This window comes from Homo sapiens, chromosome 19, assembly GCF_000001405.40.
Source record: "Homo sapiens chromosome 19, GRCh38.p14 Primary Assembly".
Taxonomy (NCBI): domain Eukaryota; kingdom Metazoa; phylum Chordata; class Mammalia; order Primates; family Hominidae; genus Homo; species Homo sapiens.
Genome location: NC_000019.10, coordinates 665421 through 685163, shown reverse-complemented (window position 1 = coordinate 685163; position 19743 = coordinate 665421). Strand labels below are relative to the sequence as shown.

The 19743-nt window shown below is 59.1% G+C and overlaps 1 protein-coding gene across 1 annotated transcript, besides 6 other annotated features; it reads right to left on the bottom strand.

The window, feature by feature from the left end:
* On the bottom strand, positions 1779 to 8772 carry FSTL3 (follistatin like 3). Its single transcript, NM_005860.3, has 5 exons — positions 8638 to 8772; positions 7187 to 7372; positions 4675 to 4890; positions 3604 to 3831; positions 1779 to 3514 (listed from the first exon to the last, which is right to left on the bottom strand). Exons 1-5 carry the CDS (start codon positions 8738 to 8740, stop codon positions 3456 to 3458), a joined length of 792 nt encoding a protein of 263 aa, NP_005851.1. The 5' UTR covers positions 8741 to 8772; the 3' UTR covers positions 1779 to 3455.
* Positions 3133 to 3681: an enhancer, noted in NCBI's record as "H3K27ac-H3K4me1 hESC enhancer chr19:681483-682031 (GRCh37/hg19 assembly coordinates)". NCBI's record gives its function as "activates a minimal SCP1, AML or CMV promoter by ChIP-STARR-seq in naive H9 embryonic stem cells {active_cell/tissue: H9 hESC(naive)}" and the evidence as "EXISTENCE:reporter gene assay evidence [ECO:0000049][PMID:30033119]".
* Positions 3682 to 4231: an enhancer, noted in NCBI's record as "H3K27ac-H3K4me1 hESC enhancer chr19:680933-681482 (GRCh37/hg19 assembly coordinates)". NCBI's record gives its function as "activates a minimal SCP1, AML or CMV promoter by ChIP-STARR-seq in naive H9 embryonic stem cells {active_cell/tissue: H9 hESC(naive)}" and the evidence as "EXISTENCE:reporter gene assay evidence [ECO:0000049][PMID:30033119]".
* Positions 4052 to 4151: a silencer, noted in NCBI's record as "silent region_9618". NCBI's record gives its function as "represses an Ori minimal core promoter by ATAC-STARR-seq in GM12878 lymphoblastoid cells {active_cell/tissue: GM12878}" and the evidence as "EXISTENCE:reporter gene assay evidence [ECO:0000049][PMID:35858748]".
* Positions 4342 to 5121: a silencer, noted in NCBI's record as "silent region_9617". NCBI's record gives its function as "represses an Ori minimal core promoter by ATAC-STARR-seq in GM12878 lymphoblastoid cells {active_cell/tissue: GM12878}" and the evidence as "EXISTENCE:reporter gene assay evidence [ECO:0000049][PMID:35858748]".
* Positions 5152 to 5461: a silencer, noted in NCBI's record as "silent region_9616". NCBI's record gives its function as "represses an Ori minimal core promoter by ATAC-STARR-seq in GM12878 lymphoblastoid cells {active_cell/tissue: GM12878}" and the evidence as "EXISTENCE:reporter gene assay evidence [ECO:0000049][PMID:35858748]".
* Positions 5916 to 6418: an enhancer, noted in NCBI's record as "H3K27ac-H3K4me1 hESC enhancer chr19:678746-679248 (GRCh37/hg19 assembly coordinates)". NCBI's record gives its function as "activates a minimal SCP1, AML or CMV promoter by ChIP-STARR-seq in primed H9 embryonic stem cells {active_cell/tissue: H9 hESC(primed)}" and the evidence as "EXISTENCE:reporter gene assay evidence [ECO:0000049][PMID:30033119]".

Here is a 19743-nt window from a genome sequence, read left to right as displayed (position 1 = left end):
GCAAGTCCCAGGTGATGTTATTGTCACAGTTTGTTATTGTGTTATTATTTTTTTATTTTTAGATTTTATTTTCTTTATTATTATTTTATTTTTTTATCTTTACTTATTTTTATTTTGGATGGAGTCTCGCTCTGTCCCCCAGGCTGGAGTGCAGTGGTGCGATCTCGGCTCACTGCAAGTTCCGCCTCCCGGGTTCACACCATTCTCCCGCTTCAGCCTCCCAAGTAGCTGGGACTACAGGCGCCCGCCACCACACCCGGCTAATTCTTTGTATTTTTAGTAGAAACGGGGTTTCACCGTGTCAGCCAGGATGGTCTCGATCTCCTGATCTCGTGATCCACCCACCTCGGCCTCCCAGAGTGCTGGGATTACAGGCGTGAGCCACCGCGCCCGGCCTATTATTTTTTTAAGATGACGTCTCACTCTGTCACCAGGCTGGAGTGCAGTGGCGCAATCTCGGCTCATTGCAACCTCTGCCCCTGGGTTCAAGCCATTCTCCTGCCTCAGCCTCCCAACTAGCTGGGACTACAGGCATGTACCACCACACCCGGCTAATTTTTTGTATTTTTAGTAGAGATGGGGTTTCACCATGTTGGCCAGGATGGTCTCGATCTCTTGACCTCGTGATCCGCTAGCCTTGGCCTCCTAAAGTGCTGGGATTACAGGCGCGGGTGAGCCACCGCGCTGGGCCTTTTTGTTGTTGTTGTTGTTATTATTATTATTATTATTATTATTTTGAGACAGAGTCTCACTCCGTCACCCAGGCTGGAGTCCAGTGGTGCGATCTCGGCTCACTGCAACCTCTGCCTCCCAGGTTCAAGCGATTCTCCTGCCTCACCCTCCCAAGTAGCTGGGACTACAGGTGCATGACACCACACCTGGCTAATTTTTTTTTTTTTTTTTTTGAGATGGGGTCTTGCTCTGTCCCCCAGGCTGGAGTTTAGTGGCACGATCTCGGCTCACCGAGATTGGAGTTTCACCATGTTGGCCAGGTCGGTCTCGAACTCCTGACCTCATGATTCACCTGCCTCGGCCTCCCAAAGTGCTGGGATTACAGGCATGAACCACCACGCCCGGCCAATTATGCTATTATTATTATTTTAGAAACAGTCTCACTCTGTCACCCAGGCTGGAGTGCAGTGGTGCCAACACAGCTCACTGCAGCCTTGACATCCTGGGCTCAAGCCATCTTCCCACCTCCGCCTCCTGAGTAGCTGGGACCACAGGAGCATGCCACCATGCCTGGGTCTTTTTTTTTTTTTTTTTTTTTTTTGTAGAGATGAGGGTCTCACTATGTTGCCCAGGCTGGTCTGGAACTCCTGGCCTCAAGTGACCCGCCCGCCTTGGCCTCCCAAAGCGCCGAGATTATAGGGGTGAGCTACCCCACCCGGGCCCTAATCCTGTTATTTTTATTACTGCTATCGTTACACCCAAGTCATTCAAGACCGGGCCTCCATTTCTGGGTCCCAAGCCAGCTGGTGTCTTAGGGCTGCCCTAAGCCATCTTGTCTATCCTGTGTGCCCTCCCAAAAGACCTCCTTTCTCTCCCTCCCCTCCCGCTCTGCCTCAGCCCCTCCCGGGCTTGTCCACTGCCTGGAGAGGCACTGAGGCCCAGAGGCGGCCAGAGGCTGCCCAAGGACTAATGCTGGGTCTCTCTTCCCGTGCCTCCAGAGCACCCATGCGGCACCCCAGGCCCCAGGCTGCCCATCCCACAGCCGTGGGGGCGGCCTGAAGCCTTGAGAGAGGAGACAAACTGAGGCCTGGACACCCCAAAATGGCTTGAGTCTTTATTTCCTTGGTGAGGCAGGGCCCCAGGGTGGGGTGGGCTGCCTGGCTGAGGCTCCTGTAGACCCACCAACCTAGGGGCACTTTTCTGGGCACCACAGGTAAGGCACTGCCTGGGGGCTGGAGGAGGCTGGAGGAGGATGCCCAAGCTCCCCACATTCCTCACCCCAGACCGGGGAAGCTGGATATCCTCCGTGTTGTCCTCTCCCCATAGCTGGTCTGAGGCTGTGGTTTACACGCAGGCACAGGTAGGCGATTCTGAGCATCAACGCAGATGGAGGGGAGGGTGAGCCGTCGTGGGAGAACTGGCCCAAGACCAGCACCTGGCTGGTGTCGCCAGCCCCGGCTGCATTGGTGGGTGAGGCAGGTCTGGCTGGAGTCTGGGTCTGCAGGCCTGGCCGGGGCAGGTTGTGGGGGACCAAGGAGCCCTGGGTGTGAACCCCACTGTGGAGGCAGCAGGCACCTAGTGGTGCCACTGGGACACCCGGCTCCAGGACTCCGGATGTCACACATGCGTGAGTCTTGGCGTCTACACCCCCCTCGGGGCCAGTGGGTGAGCAGTGGCCCGTGGTCCCCGCCAGAGCTCCCCCAGAGTGGACTTGGCTCCGCCGGACACAGTGCCCTGCTCTGAGCTGCCGCTGGCTGCTCCACGTCTGAGACCACGCGACGTTGCCTCATGAACTGACGTGGACAGCAGCAGGGGAGACGCTGGGTGGTTCTGTGGCCAAGCACAGCCCGTGTCAGGAGCACAGGCCGTGCCCTTTCCCAGGGGGCACACTGGGCATTTCTCAATGGCCTTCACAGGACGCAAAGGGGCACACAGAGGCAGTGGGGAAGCTGGAGTTCTTGGGCTGGCAGGGAATGGTGGCAGCCTTCTTGGCCTTCATGAAGGGCCTGGCTTGCTGGGCTAAGGTCACAGTGTTCTGAGGTCCCCACACGCACTCAGACTAGACCCTCCGTACACACCCAGGCTAGACCCTCCATACTCACCCAGGCTAGACCCTCCATACACACCCAGGCTAGACCCTCCATACTCACCCAGGCTAGACCCTCCATACACACCCAGGCTAGACCCTCCATACTCACCCAGGCTAGACCCTCCATACTCACCCAGGCTAGATCCTCCATACACACCCAGGCTAGACCCTCCGTACTCACCCAGGCTAGACCCTCCGTACTCACCCAGGCTAGACCCTCCGTACTCACCCAGGCTAGACCCTCCGTACACACCCAGGCTAGACCCTCCGTACACACCCAGACTAGAGGCTTGGGGCTGAGAAAAGCAGTCATGCCTCTTCAGGAATTACCAGCAGAGAATGCCCAGCCCTCTTGATAGTAGCAATAATTAATAGGTTTATCCCCAAAGGAGCGGAAGTGTGGAATCCTCCCCGGCAATAGGTCTTAGGGTAGGGGCTGGGGCATCCTAGAGAAGGGCCCTAAATCAGGCGCTCAGTGTCCGGAACGCAGGTCTATCCCACCCACCAGCCGGCCCCCAGGCCTCCCTTCCTCAGTCCTTCCAGGATATCGTCAGGGAGGTTCTGGGATCCCCAAGTGGTCCGAATCCGGGCTCTAAGGAGTGTCCGTGGCATATAAATTAGACTCTGCTGTGGCAATAAATAACAGGGGATGATGGGGGGCCTCGGGCACCAGGCCCAGGCCTGTCCTGCAGGCTCACACGAAGTTCTCTTCCTCTTCTGCAGACTCACCACCTGGCGGCTCCTCAGGGGTGCCTGCAAGGGTCGATAAGAGCATTGAGGGCGCAGGGCAGGGGGTTCTCCGGCCCCCAGGACAGGCCTGTGCCCCCGCCCTGCGTCTGCACCTGCGCAGCTGCCCGCGTGGCGCACGCCGATGGAGCGGCCCAGGAAGCAGGTGGCCTGGCGCATGTGGCACGAGGAGATGTAGGTGACGTTGTTGTTGCCGCAAAGCTCCTGGCCGGGGCTGGAGGGCACAGGGCAGGGCGCCGCTCGACACACCACGCAGTGGGCGCTGCCCGTCTGGTCCACGACGCACGACTGTGGCCGCGGGCACACCACGTGCTCACAGGACTCTGCAGGCCGGGTGCCAGGGGAAGTTCAGGGGACATCTCGCTGAGAACCCCGCAGGGCTCTTGGCCCCAAGACCCACCCTTAACCCCCAAGATGCGAAAACCCTCTGGTAGGAGACACAAGCACCCCCCCGCCCCCCGTGAGCCCCCCTCTCCATTCCACCCCTCAGGCTCCACCCACAAGCCCTGCCCTTCCCATTGTACCCAGGAGCCACACCTCTTTCGTGAGCTCCTGCCCCTTATGCTACCCAAAGCCCCGCCCCTCCGCGACTGCGGGGCCGCCCACCCAAACTCCACCCACAAATCCCCGCCCATCTCCACCCAGGAACCACGCCCCAGCCAAGAGCCCCGCCCCTTACATGACCCAGTCTCACCCCCCTGGTTCCATCATGCCCCTCTGGTTACACCCACAAGCCCCTCTCTGAGTCACGCTCCCGCTCTGACCATGCCACATACCTCTTGCCCAGTGTGAGCCCCCAGAGGCCCACTATTTTCCAAATCCCAACCCTACAAAAGACCCTACCCCGTGATACTCCCTCGGAAGTATAAAGACGCCCTTACTCAGGCCCCACCGCCACCCATGTGACCTGTCCTGGGCTGGAGGCCCCGCCCCTACGCACTGCGGCAGCGGCCCCGCCCCTCCAGCAGGCCCCGCCCCTCCAGCAGGCCCCGCCCCCGCAGGCCTGGCCCTCACGCATTGCGGTAGCAGCCCCGATACGTCACGCTCAGGTCCGGGTGGTCCCGCCCCAGGCCCCGCCCCCGCCTACTGCGGCAGCAGCCTCGATACATGACGCGCAGGTCCGGTAGGTCCCGCCCCGCCCCTCCACAGACCACGCCCCCACGTACTGCGGCAGCGGCCCCGGTACATGACGCTCAGGTCCGGGTGGCCGCGGCAGCGCGCGGCGCGCAGCTCGCACTCGTCGCGGTAGGTGGCGCCGTCTGAGCCGCAGACCTGCAGCCGCGCCGGGAGCCCCGAGCAGTCGGGCGCGCACTCGCAGCGCGGGCGGCCCCCCAGCATGCGGCACGCCTTGCCCGGGCCGCACTCCACGCCGTCGCACGAATCTGCGGACAGAGGACACGCGCGTGGGGCCGGGCGCGGGAGGGTCCCGGGCGTGGGGCCGCGCGAAGGCCTCGGGGCCCCTCCCTGCGCCCCTTCTGCAGGGCGGAGGCGGGGGCGCCGTCCCAGGTCAGGGTCAGTCGGAGTCGGGGCCCTCGGGTTCCCAGGGGCAGGGCTCAGGGTCCGGGCGCGGGACCGGTGGGGCCGAGGTCCGCGCTGCGCCTGCGCTGGGGGGCGGGGGCTGGGCTCGGTGCGCGCGGGCCGGGGCGGGGGGGGGTCTCTGCCCGGAATCGGGGTCCAGCGGAGCTACGCAGCCCCGGGCCGCTCCTCCTTGCAGCTGGCTGACGTCTGCTCCCGATGCACGCGCTCTTCTGGGAAGGCCGGAGGGGCCCCAGCTGCGTCAGCCTGGGGTGTTCCGCCCTTGCCAGGCGCGAGTCTGGGGCTGCCAGGACCTTCCCCCAGGAGGCGTCGGGGAGGGCGGGGCGCTGGACGGCCCTCCTGGCCTGGGGAGCGATTCCAGGGGAGGGGGCCCCCCACAGCCCTAGGCCTCTGAACCAGGAGCTGCCCCGCAGCCCCGCTGCTCAGACAGGGATATTGAGGTCCTGCTAGGGAAGCTCTCTCTGGGGTCCCCGCCCCCGCTTTCAATGTGAATGCTCATCGCCTCCTAGGCTTATCGCATCTTCCCAAGTCATCATTTTACAGATGGGGAAACTGAGGCCGGGTCGCAGCTATGAGTGCAGGGGCCCAAGCACCTCAGTTTGAAAGCTGCAGCCAGGACCCAGATGACCAACCCCCTTTCTGTTATCTGGGGGTCTGGTAGGGCCTCTGAACACAGCTGTTGAGTTTATGTGCCAGCCTCAGTTTCTCTGTGTGTAAAGTGGGGCTGACGAGGGAGCCCCACTTCCAAGGCAGTGCGGCACTCCTTAGGGGATGGCCAGCGCCCGCCACGCAGCCCTTGCAGGGCATGTGGGCCGCACCTGGGCGGCCCCGGCACAGCGGCTCACAGGCACATCTGGAAATGCTCGGCCAGGGTGGCTTTTATGCGAGCGAGAACGGAAGGGGGCCTGAGTTCCGTCCCCAGGGCCAGATGAGGTTGGGGGTGGGGGGTCCTGGGCCGTCTCATGCCCAGGCCAGGCACTTTTTGAAGACTGTCCTTCTCCCAGAAGCCAGAGGGGGGTCTGGAGGGAGCAGGGGTATGTGGCAGTGAGTTCAGGACCACCCAGCCAGGCTGATCTGGGATTAATCACATCTCAGAGGCCAGCAGAGTTCCTCAGCCTGGCCTTCGGGTCTGCAGCCCTCAGCTTCAGCCTCCCCTTGGCTCCTCTGCCTGACCCCACCCACCAGGACCTAACCTCAAGCCATGTTCTCTCCTGATCCACTCTCCCATACCGGCCCCATCTGGCAAACTCCTAGACATCCCCCAACACCCCAGCTCTAATGCCCACCTCCTTCAAGATGTGCCCCAACAGGCCAGGCATGGTGGCTCACGCCTGTAATCCCAGCACTTTGGGAGGCCAAGGCTGGCAGATCACTTGAGGTCAGGAGTTTGAGACCAGCCTGGCCAATGTGGTGAAACCCTGTCTCTACCAAAAACATAAAAATTAGCCAGGTGTGGTGGCGCGCGCCTGCAGTCCCAGCCCCTGGGGAGGCCGAGGAAAGAGAATCACCTGAACCTCGGAGGCCGAAGTTGCAGTGAGCCAAAATCGCACCACTGCACTCCAGCCTGGGTGACAGAGCGAGGCTCCATCTCAGGAAAAAAAAAAAAAAAAAAAAAAAAAACCATCATCCTCCAGTGCGGAGAATCTTATTCATTCGTTCTGTGCCACTCGCCAACCAAGAGCCCCTAGTCTGATGTGGGAGGCATCCTCTCAAAACAGGGTCCCGAGGCAAATGCTTGTTAAACATGCAGCTGTAACCCCACCGCAGACCCTGGAGTCTGCAGTGAAGGTCCCTGGTGTGGACATTTGGGGTCACAGGCCAGAATGGCAAACCCACCTTCCCAGGAGCTAGGTGCAAGCCAGACATTTATCGACCAGGTGGGAAGAGCCACCCAGGCAGAGAGCTCAGCCCCAGCAAAGGCTGGAGCCACGTGGTCTCTTCCTGAGTCCTGAGCTGCAAGAGGCTGGAGCCTGGGAACCGGGAAGTCCCCCCAGTCCCTCTCTGAGGCTGGGATCCCCCTGCAGCCTCCTACATACCCCTGTGACGGGCTCAGTCCCTGGACGTTCGGCCCTCGACCACCATGACTGTTTGTGGCTGGTCCTGAGCTGAGACGTCTGCCCTGCTTCTGGCCTGAGGTCTCACCTTTGCAGGGAAGGCAGTGGACAAGGCCCAAGAAGCCGAGGAGGTTGATCTTGTTCCCCGGGTGGGTGAGGTTGGACCAGGCGGTGTCAATGTTGCCGGAGGCACAGCACTCGGCCCGGGTGACATCAGTCTGGAGCACCAGGCTGCAGGTGGCCTCCTGGCCCTGCTGGAGCCAGCAAACACCACCTGCGGGCCGGGGAACGGGGTGCTCTCCTGGGCCACTCCTGACACCCAGCTTCTGGCCCGCCCACAGATGCATGCAGGTGGTGCTGAGTAGTTACGCACGGAATGATCTACCCCCACCCAGGAAGAAGGGGCAGAAAACCACATGGGTGTCCCCACCCTGGCTCCAGAACCCTGGAAATGTCTCCTCCCCTCTGAGCTCCACGTGCCCCCCCCCACAGCCTCACCACCAACCCCCACCCACCCCAGGAGGTCCCTTCCCGTACCCTCCAAGCCCCCAGGCCAGGGGCTGGCACCCTGCCCAACCCCTCAAACACCACCAAACACCAGGCACTGGGCATGTCAGGGTCAGCAGGCCCTGGAGCCGCTTCTCCCGCCTCTGCCCTCTGTCTAGACAGCACCCGAGGGCGAGGGCACGCGGAGCCCCGCGCCTGGCAGCCCCCCCACCGCCTGGCCCGCCTCTTACTCACTCCAACTTGGGAACATTCCCCTTGCATGAGCTCACTGTCTCCCCAGGGACGTGGCCTTCGGGGAGGGGGCTCTGCTCTCCCTTTGGCGCAGGGCTGGGGTGGGGTGGGGCTGCAGGGATGGGGGGTGGGGAGCCAGAGAGCCCCCCATTTCTTCCCCCGTCCCTGGGGGCAGGAACGGCCACAGCCCCCATCCCAGAGCGCTTGCTGGTTCACAGACACTGCCAGGGACCAGCTTGTGGAACGCAGCACCTTGGCACCCATCATAGGAGGGGAAACTGAGGCCAGGAGTGGGGCCGTCTCCTGCCTGGCACCTCCCGGCAAGTCCCAGGTGTGAGACTCCATGCCCCGTCTACCCAGGACCCGGGAAAGCTCTCAGCCCCAGCTGGAGGGCCTGGCTCCCGACACCCAGCACTACCTCTCGGCACCAGGACCGACCCGGACGGTCGCGGCTAGAACCCTGGCTTTGCCTGCTACAGGCTGTGTGACCCTGAGCCTCAGTTTCCCCATCTGGAAGACGGAGATGAAGAGAGCTCCGGCACTATCGGGATGGCACAGGTTCAGGGAGGGGAGAGGTAGACACTAAGCGCTCAATAAATGTCAGCGGTCATTGTGATTAGAAACCTCTGCTCTGCTGACCTCTTGGTGACCCTCCTTCAGACCTTCCCGGCTCCAGCTTGCGCCGGACACCGCCCTCGCCCCCGCCGCCGCCGCCGCGCCCCCCGACGTCCCCCCGGCCGCATTCCGCGCAGCCCCACGTGGGTGGCCCGCCCCGCCCGCCCCTCTGGCCGCCCCACTCACCGGGCGCGGGGTTCCCCGAGCCCATGGAGCTCACGAAGCCCACGGCCCAAGCCAGGGCCCCCCAGGGCAGAGGCCAGAGTGGCCCTGGCGCCCCGGGACGCATGGCGAACGCAGAGACGGCAGCGGCACCGACTTCCCAGCGCGCGGCCGGCGCTCCCTATAAAGGTCCCGCGGGCCGCGGGCGGGGCGGGGCGCGGGGCGGGGCGCGGCGCGGGAGTGGCGGGGGCGAGGCCGTGTCCCGCGCGGGGTGGGCAGGCGCCGGGCCCGGCCGCTGCGGGGGGCAGTTGGGGGCGAGCGCCCGGGTCCCCTTCCGGAGCCAGAGAATGCATTTGGGGAGATGTGGCTGGACCCAGGGCGGAACCGGGACAGGGGTGTGGGTTCGAGGTGGTGGCAGCCTTTTGGGTGGATCGAGGGGCCGTCTCCAGGAATTAAAGTGGGTTTGGGGGTCTTCAGTTTCAGGGGTGGCGGTGAGGTAACGGGGACCCAAGAGGAGCACGTCTGTGGATCCCTGCATCCCGTTTCTGTGATTTGCATGTGGTCACTTTCATGGTCCAAGTGTGGTCTGAGCCCCCCAACCCGGCCTCCTTGTTCCCGACCCGCCCCACACACCCAAAACCTCAGCTGGATATGGTTCCCTGCTCACAGCGCGGGCCGCGCACCCGTCCACCTGGCCGCTGGAGCCGGCCTGTGGGTGGGGAGTGGTTGGGTGTGGGACAGAACGGGGTGCGGCCGGGACAGACCCAGAGACACAGCTCCTTCCAGCATCTCGGACAACAGCAGGCCTCGCCCAGCCACGGCCCCCAGGGAGGCCACTGCGTGTGTGTGTGTGTGTGTGTGTGTGTGTGCGCGCGCACGCCTGGCCTTTGTCCTGGGCCCCTGGGCAGCTCTGCCCCATCAGCCCTCCAAGCCTTTGCAGACATTCCCCCAGATCACCTCAACAAGAATGTTTACTAGGTTTTTTCCTCTCCCTCCAAGATTCAGCAAACACTGTTTCCAGCAGAGGCGTTTCCAACAATGTATGACAGCGACATCTGCGTGGGCCTGGAGGCGCTGCGCCCGAGGGGGCTTTCGTGCAGCCAGACACATTTCCTACTCTGGAGCTGATTCTGTCATGGGGGCCTCCAGATTTGTCAGGCGCCCTTGGCGAGCGCAGGGGAGCCCCTCTGTTCCTGCTTCTAGGGCATCAGTGAACATCTCTTTTGGCCAGAGGGACCCTGCGGGGTGCTGGGGTGCCACGGTGACCAAGGCAGACCCCATCACACCCTCACCGAGCTCCTGGTTTGGACAACAAAATGCAGAGACAAATTAATCTATAACTTCAAGGAGTGGTAAATGCTTTCAGGAAAATACAGAAGGTTGAGGTGGTGGAGAGCGGTTGGGTGTCTGCTGGGCATGCCTGTGTCTGGCCACTCGCTGTGCCGGCATTGCCCACCCCGCAGGTGGAAACGGACGTGTCCAGCAGCCCCACGGCACAGCCCCTTCTCTGGCCTGAGTGAGATCTGTGCCCACAGAAGACACACCTGTACCCTTTCCTCCACCTTAGCTGCCCAGCCTGTGTCCCCCAGCAGCCAGTGGCCAGGGGCCAAGTTCTGCCTTAGTGGCACTGAGGGGGGACACCCCGCCGTCTTGACCTGGCCTTGGCCTCTGGCATTTCCCCCGGGAATCTCCCCGGCTTGGGGAGCAGGGCAGGGACGGGACCCTGTATTCTCACTGAGGGGGGACACCCCGCCGTCTCGACCTGGCCTTGGCCTCTGGCATTTCCCCCGGGAATCTCCCCGGCTTGGGGAGCAGGGCAGGGACGGGACCCTGTGTTCTCACTGAGGGGGGACACCCCGCCGTCTCGACCTGGCCTTGGCCTCTGGCATTTCCCCCGGGAATCTCCCCGGCTTGGGGAGTGGGGCAGGCACAGGACCCTGTGTTCTCACTGACGGGGGACACCCCGCCGTCTCGACCTGGCCTTGGCCTCTGGCATTCCCCCGGGACTCTCCCGGGATTGGGGAGTGGGGCAGGGATGGGACCCTGTGTTCTCACTGAGGATGTGCGGGGGCTGGACAGTGTGACCTTGGCCAAGACCTGACCCCGCCGTGGCTTGGCCACTCCGGCCTGGGCTGTGCGAATCAAAGGGTCATTGTCTGGCTGGCGTGGGTTCCGGCCCTCTCCGGGGAAACCGAGGCCAGCTGCCAGTGGCCTCCTGCTCCCGGCTCTGTCTTCCCTAACCCAGAGGCTCTGTGCAGGGTGACCTCTAACAGGTCACTGACCCTTTCCAGAGCGCCGCCTCCTCCTGAGACCCCAGTGATGACCTCCCCTCTCCCGGCTCTGCCCCTCTCCCCACCCTATCCAGGCCCGAGGCTCATCCTAGGACTTCCAGCCCGCAGCCTGGCCCCTGCGGCCCACTTCCTACCCCAGCTGCCATAACACTTCTCCCTGGCTCAGACACCCACCGTGGCTCCTCGTGGCCTCTGCTCACCCCCCAGGCTTCTGTCTCCCTCCAGGTACATCCTGACAGGTAAACAGACAGTGACAATCCAGTGTTGTTCTGTGGCGGAGGATGCCCAGATGGCAAAGGTGCCCCAGGCCTGACCCGGGCCTGGGGGAGACTGAGGAAGGCTTCCCAGAGGAAAGAGACGTTGAGGTTGAGACTCGAACGTCAGACGGAGCGGCAGGGGTGTGCGCTGGAAACAGACGCTTGTGCTGTGAGTGAGGGGGAGAGCAGTGGGGGGTGGTCAGCAGAACGGCGGTCCCAGAGACCATGGGGCCCTCATCCCTAGAACCCGTGGGTGTCCCACCCTCCCTGGCCAAAGGGGCTCTGCAGATGGGACTGAGTTGAGGGCTTTCACACAGGGGTTCATCCTGGGTTATACGGATGGCCCACTGTCCTGGAAGGGTCCGTAGAAGAGGAGATGCCTGGCCGGGCGCGGTGGTTCACACCTGTGAACCACCAACACATTAGGTTCACACCTGTGAACCTCCAACACATTAGGAGGCCGAGGCAGGCAGATCACTTGAGGTCAGGAGTTCGAGACTAGCCTGGCCAACATGGTAAAACCCTGTCTCTACTAAAAATACAAAAAAATTAGGTGGGCCTGGTGGTGTGCGCCTGTAATCCCAGCACTTTGGGAGGCCGAGGCAGGAGGATCACTTGAAGTCAGGAGTTCGAGACTAGCCTGGCCAACATGGTAAAACCCCGTCTCTACTAAAAATACAAAAAAATTAGGTGGGCCTGGTATTGTGCACCTGTAATCCCAGCTACTTGGGAGGCTGAGGCAGGAGAATCACTTGAACCTGGGAGGCAGAGGTTGAAGTGACCCGAGATCGTGCCACTGCACTGCAGCCTGGGTGACAGAGCGAGACTCTGTCTCAAAAAAAAAAAAAAAAAAAAGGAGACGCCTGCCCTCTATGGTTAGAGACAGGATAAGAGAAGGACTTGGCTGCCATTGCGGGATTTGGAGATGGAGGAAGGGGGCTCAAGCCAGGGAATGTGGGCGGCCTCTAGGAGCCTGGAAAGGCGCGGAACAGATTCTCTCCTGGAGCTGCCAGAAGGAATGCAGCTCTGCCAACACCTCGATCTTCTCCCAGCCAGACCCGTGTGGAACTTTTTTTTTTTTTTTTTTGAGACGTAGTCTCGTTCTGTTGCTTAGGCTGGAGTGCAATGGCGCGATCTCGGCTCACTGCAACCTCCGCCCCCGGGTTCAAGCAATCCTTCTGCGTCAGCCTCACGAGTAGCTGGGATTGTAGGCACCTGCCACCACAACTGGCTAATTTTTGTATTCTTAGTAGAGACGCGGTTTCGCCATGTTGGCCAGGCTGGTCTTGAACTCCTGACCTCAGTGATTCACCCGCCTTGGCCTCCCAAAGTGCTGGGGTTACAGGTGTGAGCCACCATGCCTGGCCATTTTTATTTTTTTGAGACAGGGCCTCACTCTGTTGTCCAGGCTGGAGTGCAGAGGTGCGATCTCGGCTCACTGCAACCTCAGCCTCCAGACTAAGTGGGATTACAGGCGCCTCCCACCACACCCGGCTACTTTTTTTTTTTTTTTTTGCAGTGACGGGATTTTGCCATGTTGGTCAGGCTGGTCTCAAACTCCTGACCTCAGGTGATCTGCCCATCTTGGCCTCACAAAGTGCTGGGATTACAGGCATGAGACACTGCGCCCAGCCCGTGTGTTGCTTTAAGCCAGGCAGTTTGTGCAAATTTGTTATAGCAGCCGTGGGTGCCCACTGTGTGCCAGGCCCTGGGACCCTTCTAGGCCTGTTTTCTTTTTCTTTCTTTTTTTTTTTTTTTGAGACAGAGTTTCGCTCTTGTTGCCAAGGCTGGAGTGCAGTGGCGCAATCTCGGCTCACTGCAACCTCTGCCTCCCGGGTTTAAGCAATTCTCTTGCCTCAGCCTCCTGAGTAGCTGGAATTACAGGCATGCACCAGCAGACCCAGCTAATTTTTTGTATTTTTAGTAGAGATGGGTTTCACCATGTTGGCCAGGCTGGTCTCGAACTCCTGACCTCTGGCGATCCAGCTGCCTTGGCCTCCCAAATTGCTGGGATTACAGGCGTGAACCACCGTGCCCAGCCTATGCCTGTTTTCTTATCTGTAACATGGGCACAGACCCCAGTGTTAGAGGTTCCAGGTGGGATGTGGACAGTGCCAGGCGCACAGTAGGGCCATGGCGTGCATAGATTCCTGTTAATTACCCAGTCAATGGGTGCTCGTGCAGAACGGGACCATGGTGAGTCCCCTTTGCTGCTTGCTGGGAGGCTGTGAGGCAGGCGCCCCATTTATAGGGATGAGGTTGGAGGGTGGGAAGTGATTTTCTTGGAGTCACACAGACCTGCAGAGTCAGGACTAGGGTCAGCACCAGGTTCAGAAGCTTCCAGGACCCCTGTGCCTCCCATGGACCACACGACGAGGGCCAGCCTGGGGCTGGTTCCCCCTTTCTGCTCCCACTACTGCACTCCAGCCCGGGTGACAGAGTGAGACTCTGTCTCAAAAAAAACACAAAACCACCAGGACGAGTCAGTCCTGGAATTTTTTTTTTTTTTTAAGATGGAGTCTTGCTCTGTTGCCCAGGCTGGAGTGCAGTGGCGTGATCTCAGCTCACTGCAACCTCTGCCTCCCAGGTTCAAGCGATTCTCCTGCCTCAGCCTCCCGAGCAGCTGGGACTATAGGCGCCCACCACCACGCCTGGCTAATTTTTGTATTTTTAGTAGAGACAGGGTTTCACCATATTGGCCAGGCTGGTCTCGAACTCCTGACCTCATGATCCGCCGGCCTCGGCCTCCCAAAGTGCGGGGATTACAGGTGTGAGCCACCACGCCTGGCCAACGGCCCTGGAATTTTGCTGGGAGAGGGACAGGGACACCTGCTTCCTGCTGGGGCTGGAGAGGTGTGAGCCTGAAATTGCAGGTGGCTCTTTCTGATGGCTAGGGAGAGGCCAGCCCCGTGGGCCACAGAGCCAAAGGGGACAGCAACAATTCCCAGTGACATTGGAGGTCCCTGGATCCAGCTGTGCCTGAACTCCTCCTCCGCAGGGAGATGAAGCCAGTTTAAACCGAGTTTCTGTACCTTGGAGCTGATAATAATAACCATCTTTGTAGTCAGCAGGTTTGCATTCATGCAAGGAGAGCCTTTAGGACCCAGAGCAGCGTGTTCTGTGGGGCTCTAGGGAGCTCACCCTGCGGTACCACCTTCGGCCTCCAGGATGGGAAGCGGGTTGTGGCTTGGTACAGAACAGTCAGGGACACCCGGTCCCACCTTCCTGAGCCCAAAGATACTTGGCATTGGCTTACTGTCTATTGTCTGCAGCCTCTGAGCTAGAACTTGCCAACCCCTGGGCTCCAGGAGGCAAAGACTTGCTGGACTCCGGAGCCTGTGATGCTGATAACATGGCTCAGGCCTGAAGGCCTGGCCTGGTGGGCGGTGTGGGAACACTGGGAAGTGAGCTGGGCCCTAAAACAACCCCATCAGCCGGGTGCGGTGTGAGCTGGGCCCTAAAGCAACCCCACTGGCCAAGTGCCACGGCTCACATCTGTAATCCCAGCACTTTGGGAGGCTGCGGCGGGCAGATCATTTGAGGTCAGGAGTTTGAGACCAGCCTGGCCAACATGGTGAAACCCCGTCTCTACTAAAAATACAAAAAAAATTAGCCGGGCGAGGTGGCACACTCCTGTAATCCCAGCTACTCGGGAAGCTGAAGCAGGAGAATCACTTGAACCCAGGAAGCGGAGGCTGCAGTGAGCCAAGATCGCGCCACTGCACTCCAGCCTGGGTGACAGTGAGACTTCATCTCAAAAAACAAAACAGCTGGGCGCAGTGGCTCACGCCTGTAATTCCTGCACTTTGGGAGGCTGAGGTAGGCAGATCACTTAAGGTCAGGAGTTTGAGACCAGTCTGGCCAACATGGTGAAACCCCATCTCTATTAAAAATACAAAAATTAGCTGGGTGTGGTGCCGGGTGCCTGTAGTCCCAGCCACTCAGGAGGCTCAGGCAGGAGAATTGCTCGAACCTGGAGGGCAGAGGTTTTGGTGAGCCGAGTTCGCACCACTGCACTCCAGCCTGGACAACAGAGCGAGACCCCCGTCTCAAAAAAAATAAATAAATAAGGCCAGGTGAGGTGGCTCACGCCTGTAATCCCAGCACTTCGGGAGGTGGAGGCGGGTGGATCACGAGGTCAGGAGATCGTGACCATCCTGGCTAACACGGTGAAACCCCGTCTCTACTAAAAATGCAAAAAATTAGCCGGGCATGGTGGCGGGCGCCTGTAGTCCCAGCTACTCGGGAGGCTGAGGCAGGAGAATGGCGTGAACCCGGGAGGCGGAGCTTGCAGTGAGCCGAGATGGCACCACTGCACTCCAGCCTGGGCGACAGAGTGAGACTCCATCTCAATAAATAAATAAATAAATAAATAAATAAATAAATAAAAGAAATCTGACATGTATCGGGGGGACCCATTCCCCCCATATTTCAATATAAATTCTTTCTATTTTCCATAAGTGTCGGCTGGCTGAGAAATAAAGAGGAAGAGTACAAAGAGAGGAATTTTACAGCTGGGCCGCCGGGGGGTGACGTCGCATGTCGGTAGGATCGTGCTGCCCCCTGAGCCTTAAACCAGCAAGTTTTTTATTAAGGGTTTCAAGAGGGGAGGGGGTGTGAGAACATGGAGTAGAGCTCATGCTTCAAAGGGCAAAAAACAGAACAAAGATCACTTGCTTCTGAGGGAACAGGAGAAAAGGCAACACAGAACTACTGATAAGGGTCCATGTTCAGCGGTGCACGTATTATCTTGATAAACATCTTGAACAAAAAATAGGGAAACGTCTGACCACAAATTCACCAGGGTGGAGTTTTTCCCCACCGTAGTAAGCCTGAGGGTACTGCAGGAGATCAGGGCGTATCTCAGTCCTTATCTCAACCACGTAAGACAGACATTCCCAGAGCAGCTGTTTATAGACCTCTCCCCAGGAATGCATTCCTTTCCCAGGGTATTAATATTAATATTGCTTGCTAGGAAAAGAATTTAGCGATATCCTCCCTACTTGCATGTCCTTTTATAGGCTCTCTGCAAGAAGAAAAATATGGCTTTTTTTGCCTGACCCTGCAGGCAGTCAGACCTTATGGTTGTCTTCCCTTGTTCCCTAAAATCGCTGTTATTCTGTTTTTTCTCAAGGTGCACTGATTTCATATTGTTCAAACACACGTTTTACAATCAATTTGTACAGTTAACACAATTATCACGGTGGTCCTGAGGTGACATACATCCTCAGCTTACGAAGATAACAGGATTAAGAGATGAGAGTAAGACAGGCGTAAGAAATTATAAAAGTATTAATTTGGGAACTGATAAATGTCCATATTAAAATGAAATCTTCACAATTTATGTTCCTCTGCCACAGCTCCAGGCGGTCCCTCCGTTCGGGGTCCCTGACTTCCCGCAACAGACATGAGTCTTGCTGGGCTAAAATCAAGTGTGTTTGGGGACTTTATTTATTTATTTTGAGGTGAAGTCTCTCACTCACTCTGTCTCTCAGGCTGGAGTGGAGTGGTGCAATCTCAGCTTACTGCAACCTCTGCTCCCGGGTTCAAGTGATTTTCATGCCTCAGCCTCCCGAGTACCTGGGATTACAGGCAGGCACCACCATGCCCGGCTAGTTTTTTTTTTTTAACAAGATGGAGTTTTGCTCTTGTTGCCTAGGCAGGAGTGAAATGGCAAGATCTTGGCTCACTGCAACTTCTGCCTCCCAGATTCAAGCGATTCCCCTGCCTCAGCCTCCCGAGTAGCTGGGATTACAGATGCCTGCTACCATGCCTGGTTAACTTTGTATTTTTAGTAGAGACAGGGTTTCTCCATGTTGGTCAGGCTGGTCTCGAAGTCCCAACTTCAGATGATCCACCCACCTCGGCCTTCCAAAGTGCTGGGATTACAGGCATGAGCCACTGCACCCGGCCATTTTTTTTTTTTTTTTTTTTTTTTTGTTAGTAGAGATGGGTTTCACCATTTTGGCCAGACTAGCCTCGAACTCCTGACCTCAAATGATCCACCCGCCTCAGCCTTCCAAAGTGCTGGGATTACGGGAATGAGCCACCGCCCCTGGCCCAGTTTGGGGCCTTTACTCTTCCGATCATGGTGCTCGATACTGTTGGGTGGATGGCTGGTTTCAGCAGACGTTTGTGGCACAGGCCCCGCTCCTGGCACAGAGCGGAGGCTCCACGACACTTGATGAAGCAACGGTGGCCCAACCCCTGCCAGGATGAGGGTGGAGGGAGGAACTGTTTCCTTCCTCAGGAGGCAGCCACAGTCCAGTCCCAAAGCTGCCGCCTCAGGCAATCGGCTTCCTCCCTGGGCCTCAGTTTCCTCATTGGTGCAATGGGGCCAGCTGCAGTTATTTCTTCCCAGGGGGGTTGGGAGAAGTGAATACACAACCACTAGGTCTACCTGGGACGTGGTCTGCCTGGGCTTGGTCTGCCTGGGACGTGGTCCACCTGGGCTTGGTCCGCCTGGGACGTGGTCTGCCTGGGACGTGGTCCGCCTGGGCTTGGTCTGCCTGGGACGTGGTCTGCCTGGGACATGGTCCGCCTGGGACGTGGTCCACCTGGGCTTGGTCCGCCTGGGACGTGGTCCGCCTGGGACGTGGTCCACCTGGGCTTGGTCCGCCTGGGACGTGGTCCGCCTGGGACGTGGTCCGCCTGGGCTTGGTCCGCCTGGGACGTGGTCCGCCTGGGACGTGGTCCGCCTGGGACGTGGTCCGCCTGGGCTTGGTCTGCCTGGGACGTGGTCCACCTGGGCTTGGTCTGCCTGGGACGTGGTCCACCTGGGCTTGGTCTGCCTGGGACGTGAGAATGAGCTGTCAACACACCTCTCTGCCCCGGAGGGAGTGGCGCGTGTCATTCCTTTAGGAGTCCTCTCGTCTCATGTTTGCCGAGGCCCCCAGGGTTCACGGGGACGGGATCCTGAATTGAAAAAGGGGCTAAGAGAGCTCACGGAACCAAGCCCACACCTGTCGAGGTCCCTGGTGAGAGGAAATGGGAGAAACGGTGCCGTCTGTGGAACCAGGGTGGCCGGTGGGGCCTGGGGCAGGGTGCAAGTGTGTGCATTTGTGTGCAGCAGTGTCAGTGCCCACTGGCCGATTTGATCAATGTGCTACTGCCTTCAGGGAAGAGCAGCCTGCTTTTTGGTGTGTTTGGGATAAAGGGGTGGCCGGGCACTCTGGCTCACACCTGTGATCCCCACACTTTGGGAGGCCAAGGTGGGAGGATCCCGTGAGCCCAGGAGTTGGAGATCACTCTGGGCAACATAGCCAGATCCTATCTCTACAAAATAAAAATTTAAAACGATTAGCCTCACGCCTGTGATCCCAGCACTTTGGGAGGCTGAGGTGGGCGGATCACCTGAGGTCAGGAGTTGGAGACCAGCCTACTTAACATGGAGAAACTCCGTCTCTACTAGAAGGACAAAAATTAGCCGGGCGTGGTGGCACATGCCTGTAATCCCAGCTACTTGGGAGGCTGAGCCAGGATAATCGCTTGATCCTAGGAGGCAGAATTTGCAGTGAGCCCAGATCATGCCACTGCACTCCAGCCTGGGCGGCAGAGGGAGACCCATCTCAAACAAAACAAAACAAAACAAAACAAAACAAAAAAGATGGGGTCTCCATCTGTGGCCCAGGCTGGAGTGCAGTGGTCCGATCTCAGCTCACTGCAACCTCTGCCTCCTGCTCAAGTGATCCTTCTGTCTCAGCCTCCTGAGTAGGTGGGATCACAGGTGCCCGCCACCACACCTGGCTAATTTTTGTATTTTTAGTAGAGACACGGTTTCACCATGTAGCCCAGGCTGGTCTTCAACTCCTGGACTCAAGTGATCCTCCTGCCTCAGCCTCTCAAGGTGCTGGGATTACAGGCATGAGCCACTGTCCCCGGCCTAATTCTATTTTTGTAGAGACAGGGTCTCACTATGTTGCTCAGGATGGTTTTGAACTCCTGGTCTCAGGCGTGAGCCACCTCGCCCTGCTTAGTTTGATACAAAATCCCTACGTTCCTTCTCATTCCCACTGTGTTTCCAGCACCTGCTTGAGCCCAGCACACAGTAGACACTCGGCAACTGTTGGTGCATTTGGGAATCTACTGAACACCTACTGGTGCGCTGGGTATTGGCCTCACATATGGGGAGACGCCATTAATAACCCACAGATGTGAGGATGGCTGTGGGGGATGGAAAGGGGGCTCTGAGAAGTGGGGTGCAGTGGTGGATGGGGCAGCCTCCTAAAAACCAGGGGAAAGGGCCGGGCGCGGTGGCTCACGCCTGTCATCCCAGCACTTTGGGACGCCGAGGTGGGCGGATCACCTGAGGTCAGGAGTTCGAGACCAGCCTGGCCAACATGGCGAAACCCCAGCTCTACTAAAAATACAAAAATTAGCCGGGCGTGGTGGCGCATGCCTGTGATCCCAGCTACTCGGGAGGCTGAGGCAGGAGAATCGCTTGACCCCTGGAGGCGGAGGTTGCAGTGAGCTGAGATCGCACCATTGCACTCCAGCCTGGGCAACAGAGTGAGACTCCATCTCAAAAAAAAAAAAAAAAAAAAAAAAAAGCAGGGGAAGGAGAGGGGACTTGGGGAAGGGCA

Excerpts from the sequence above, each read along its gene's own strand:
- FSTL3 (NM_005860.3), bottom strand. The coding sequence starts at position 8,740 with ATGCGTCCCGGGGCGCCAGGGCCACTCTGGCCTCTGCCCTGGGGGGCC. Across the intron at positions 7,373-8,637 it reads CTCGGGGAACCCCGCGCCCG|GTGGTGTTTGCTGGCTCCAG; the intron begins GTGAGTGGGGCG and ends CCCGGCCCGCAG. Across the intron at positions 3,515-3,603 it reads CCACGCGGGCAGCTGCGCAG|GCACCCCTGAGGAGCCGCCA; the intron begins GTGCAGACGCAG and ends CGACCCTTGCAG.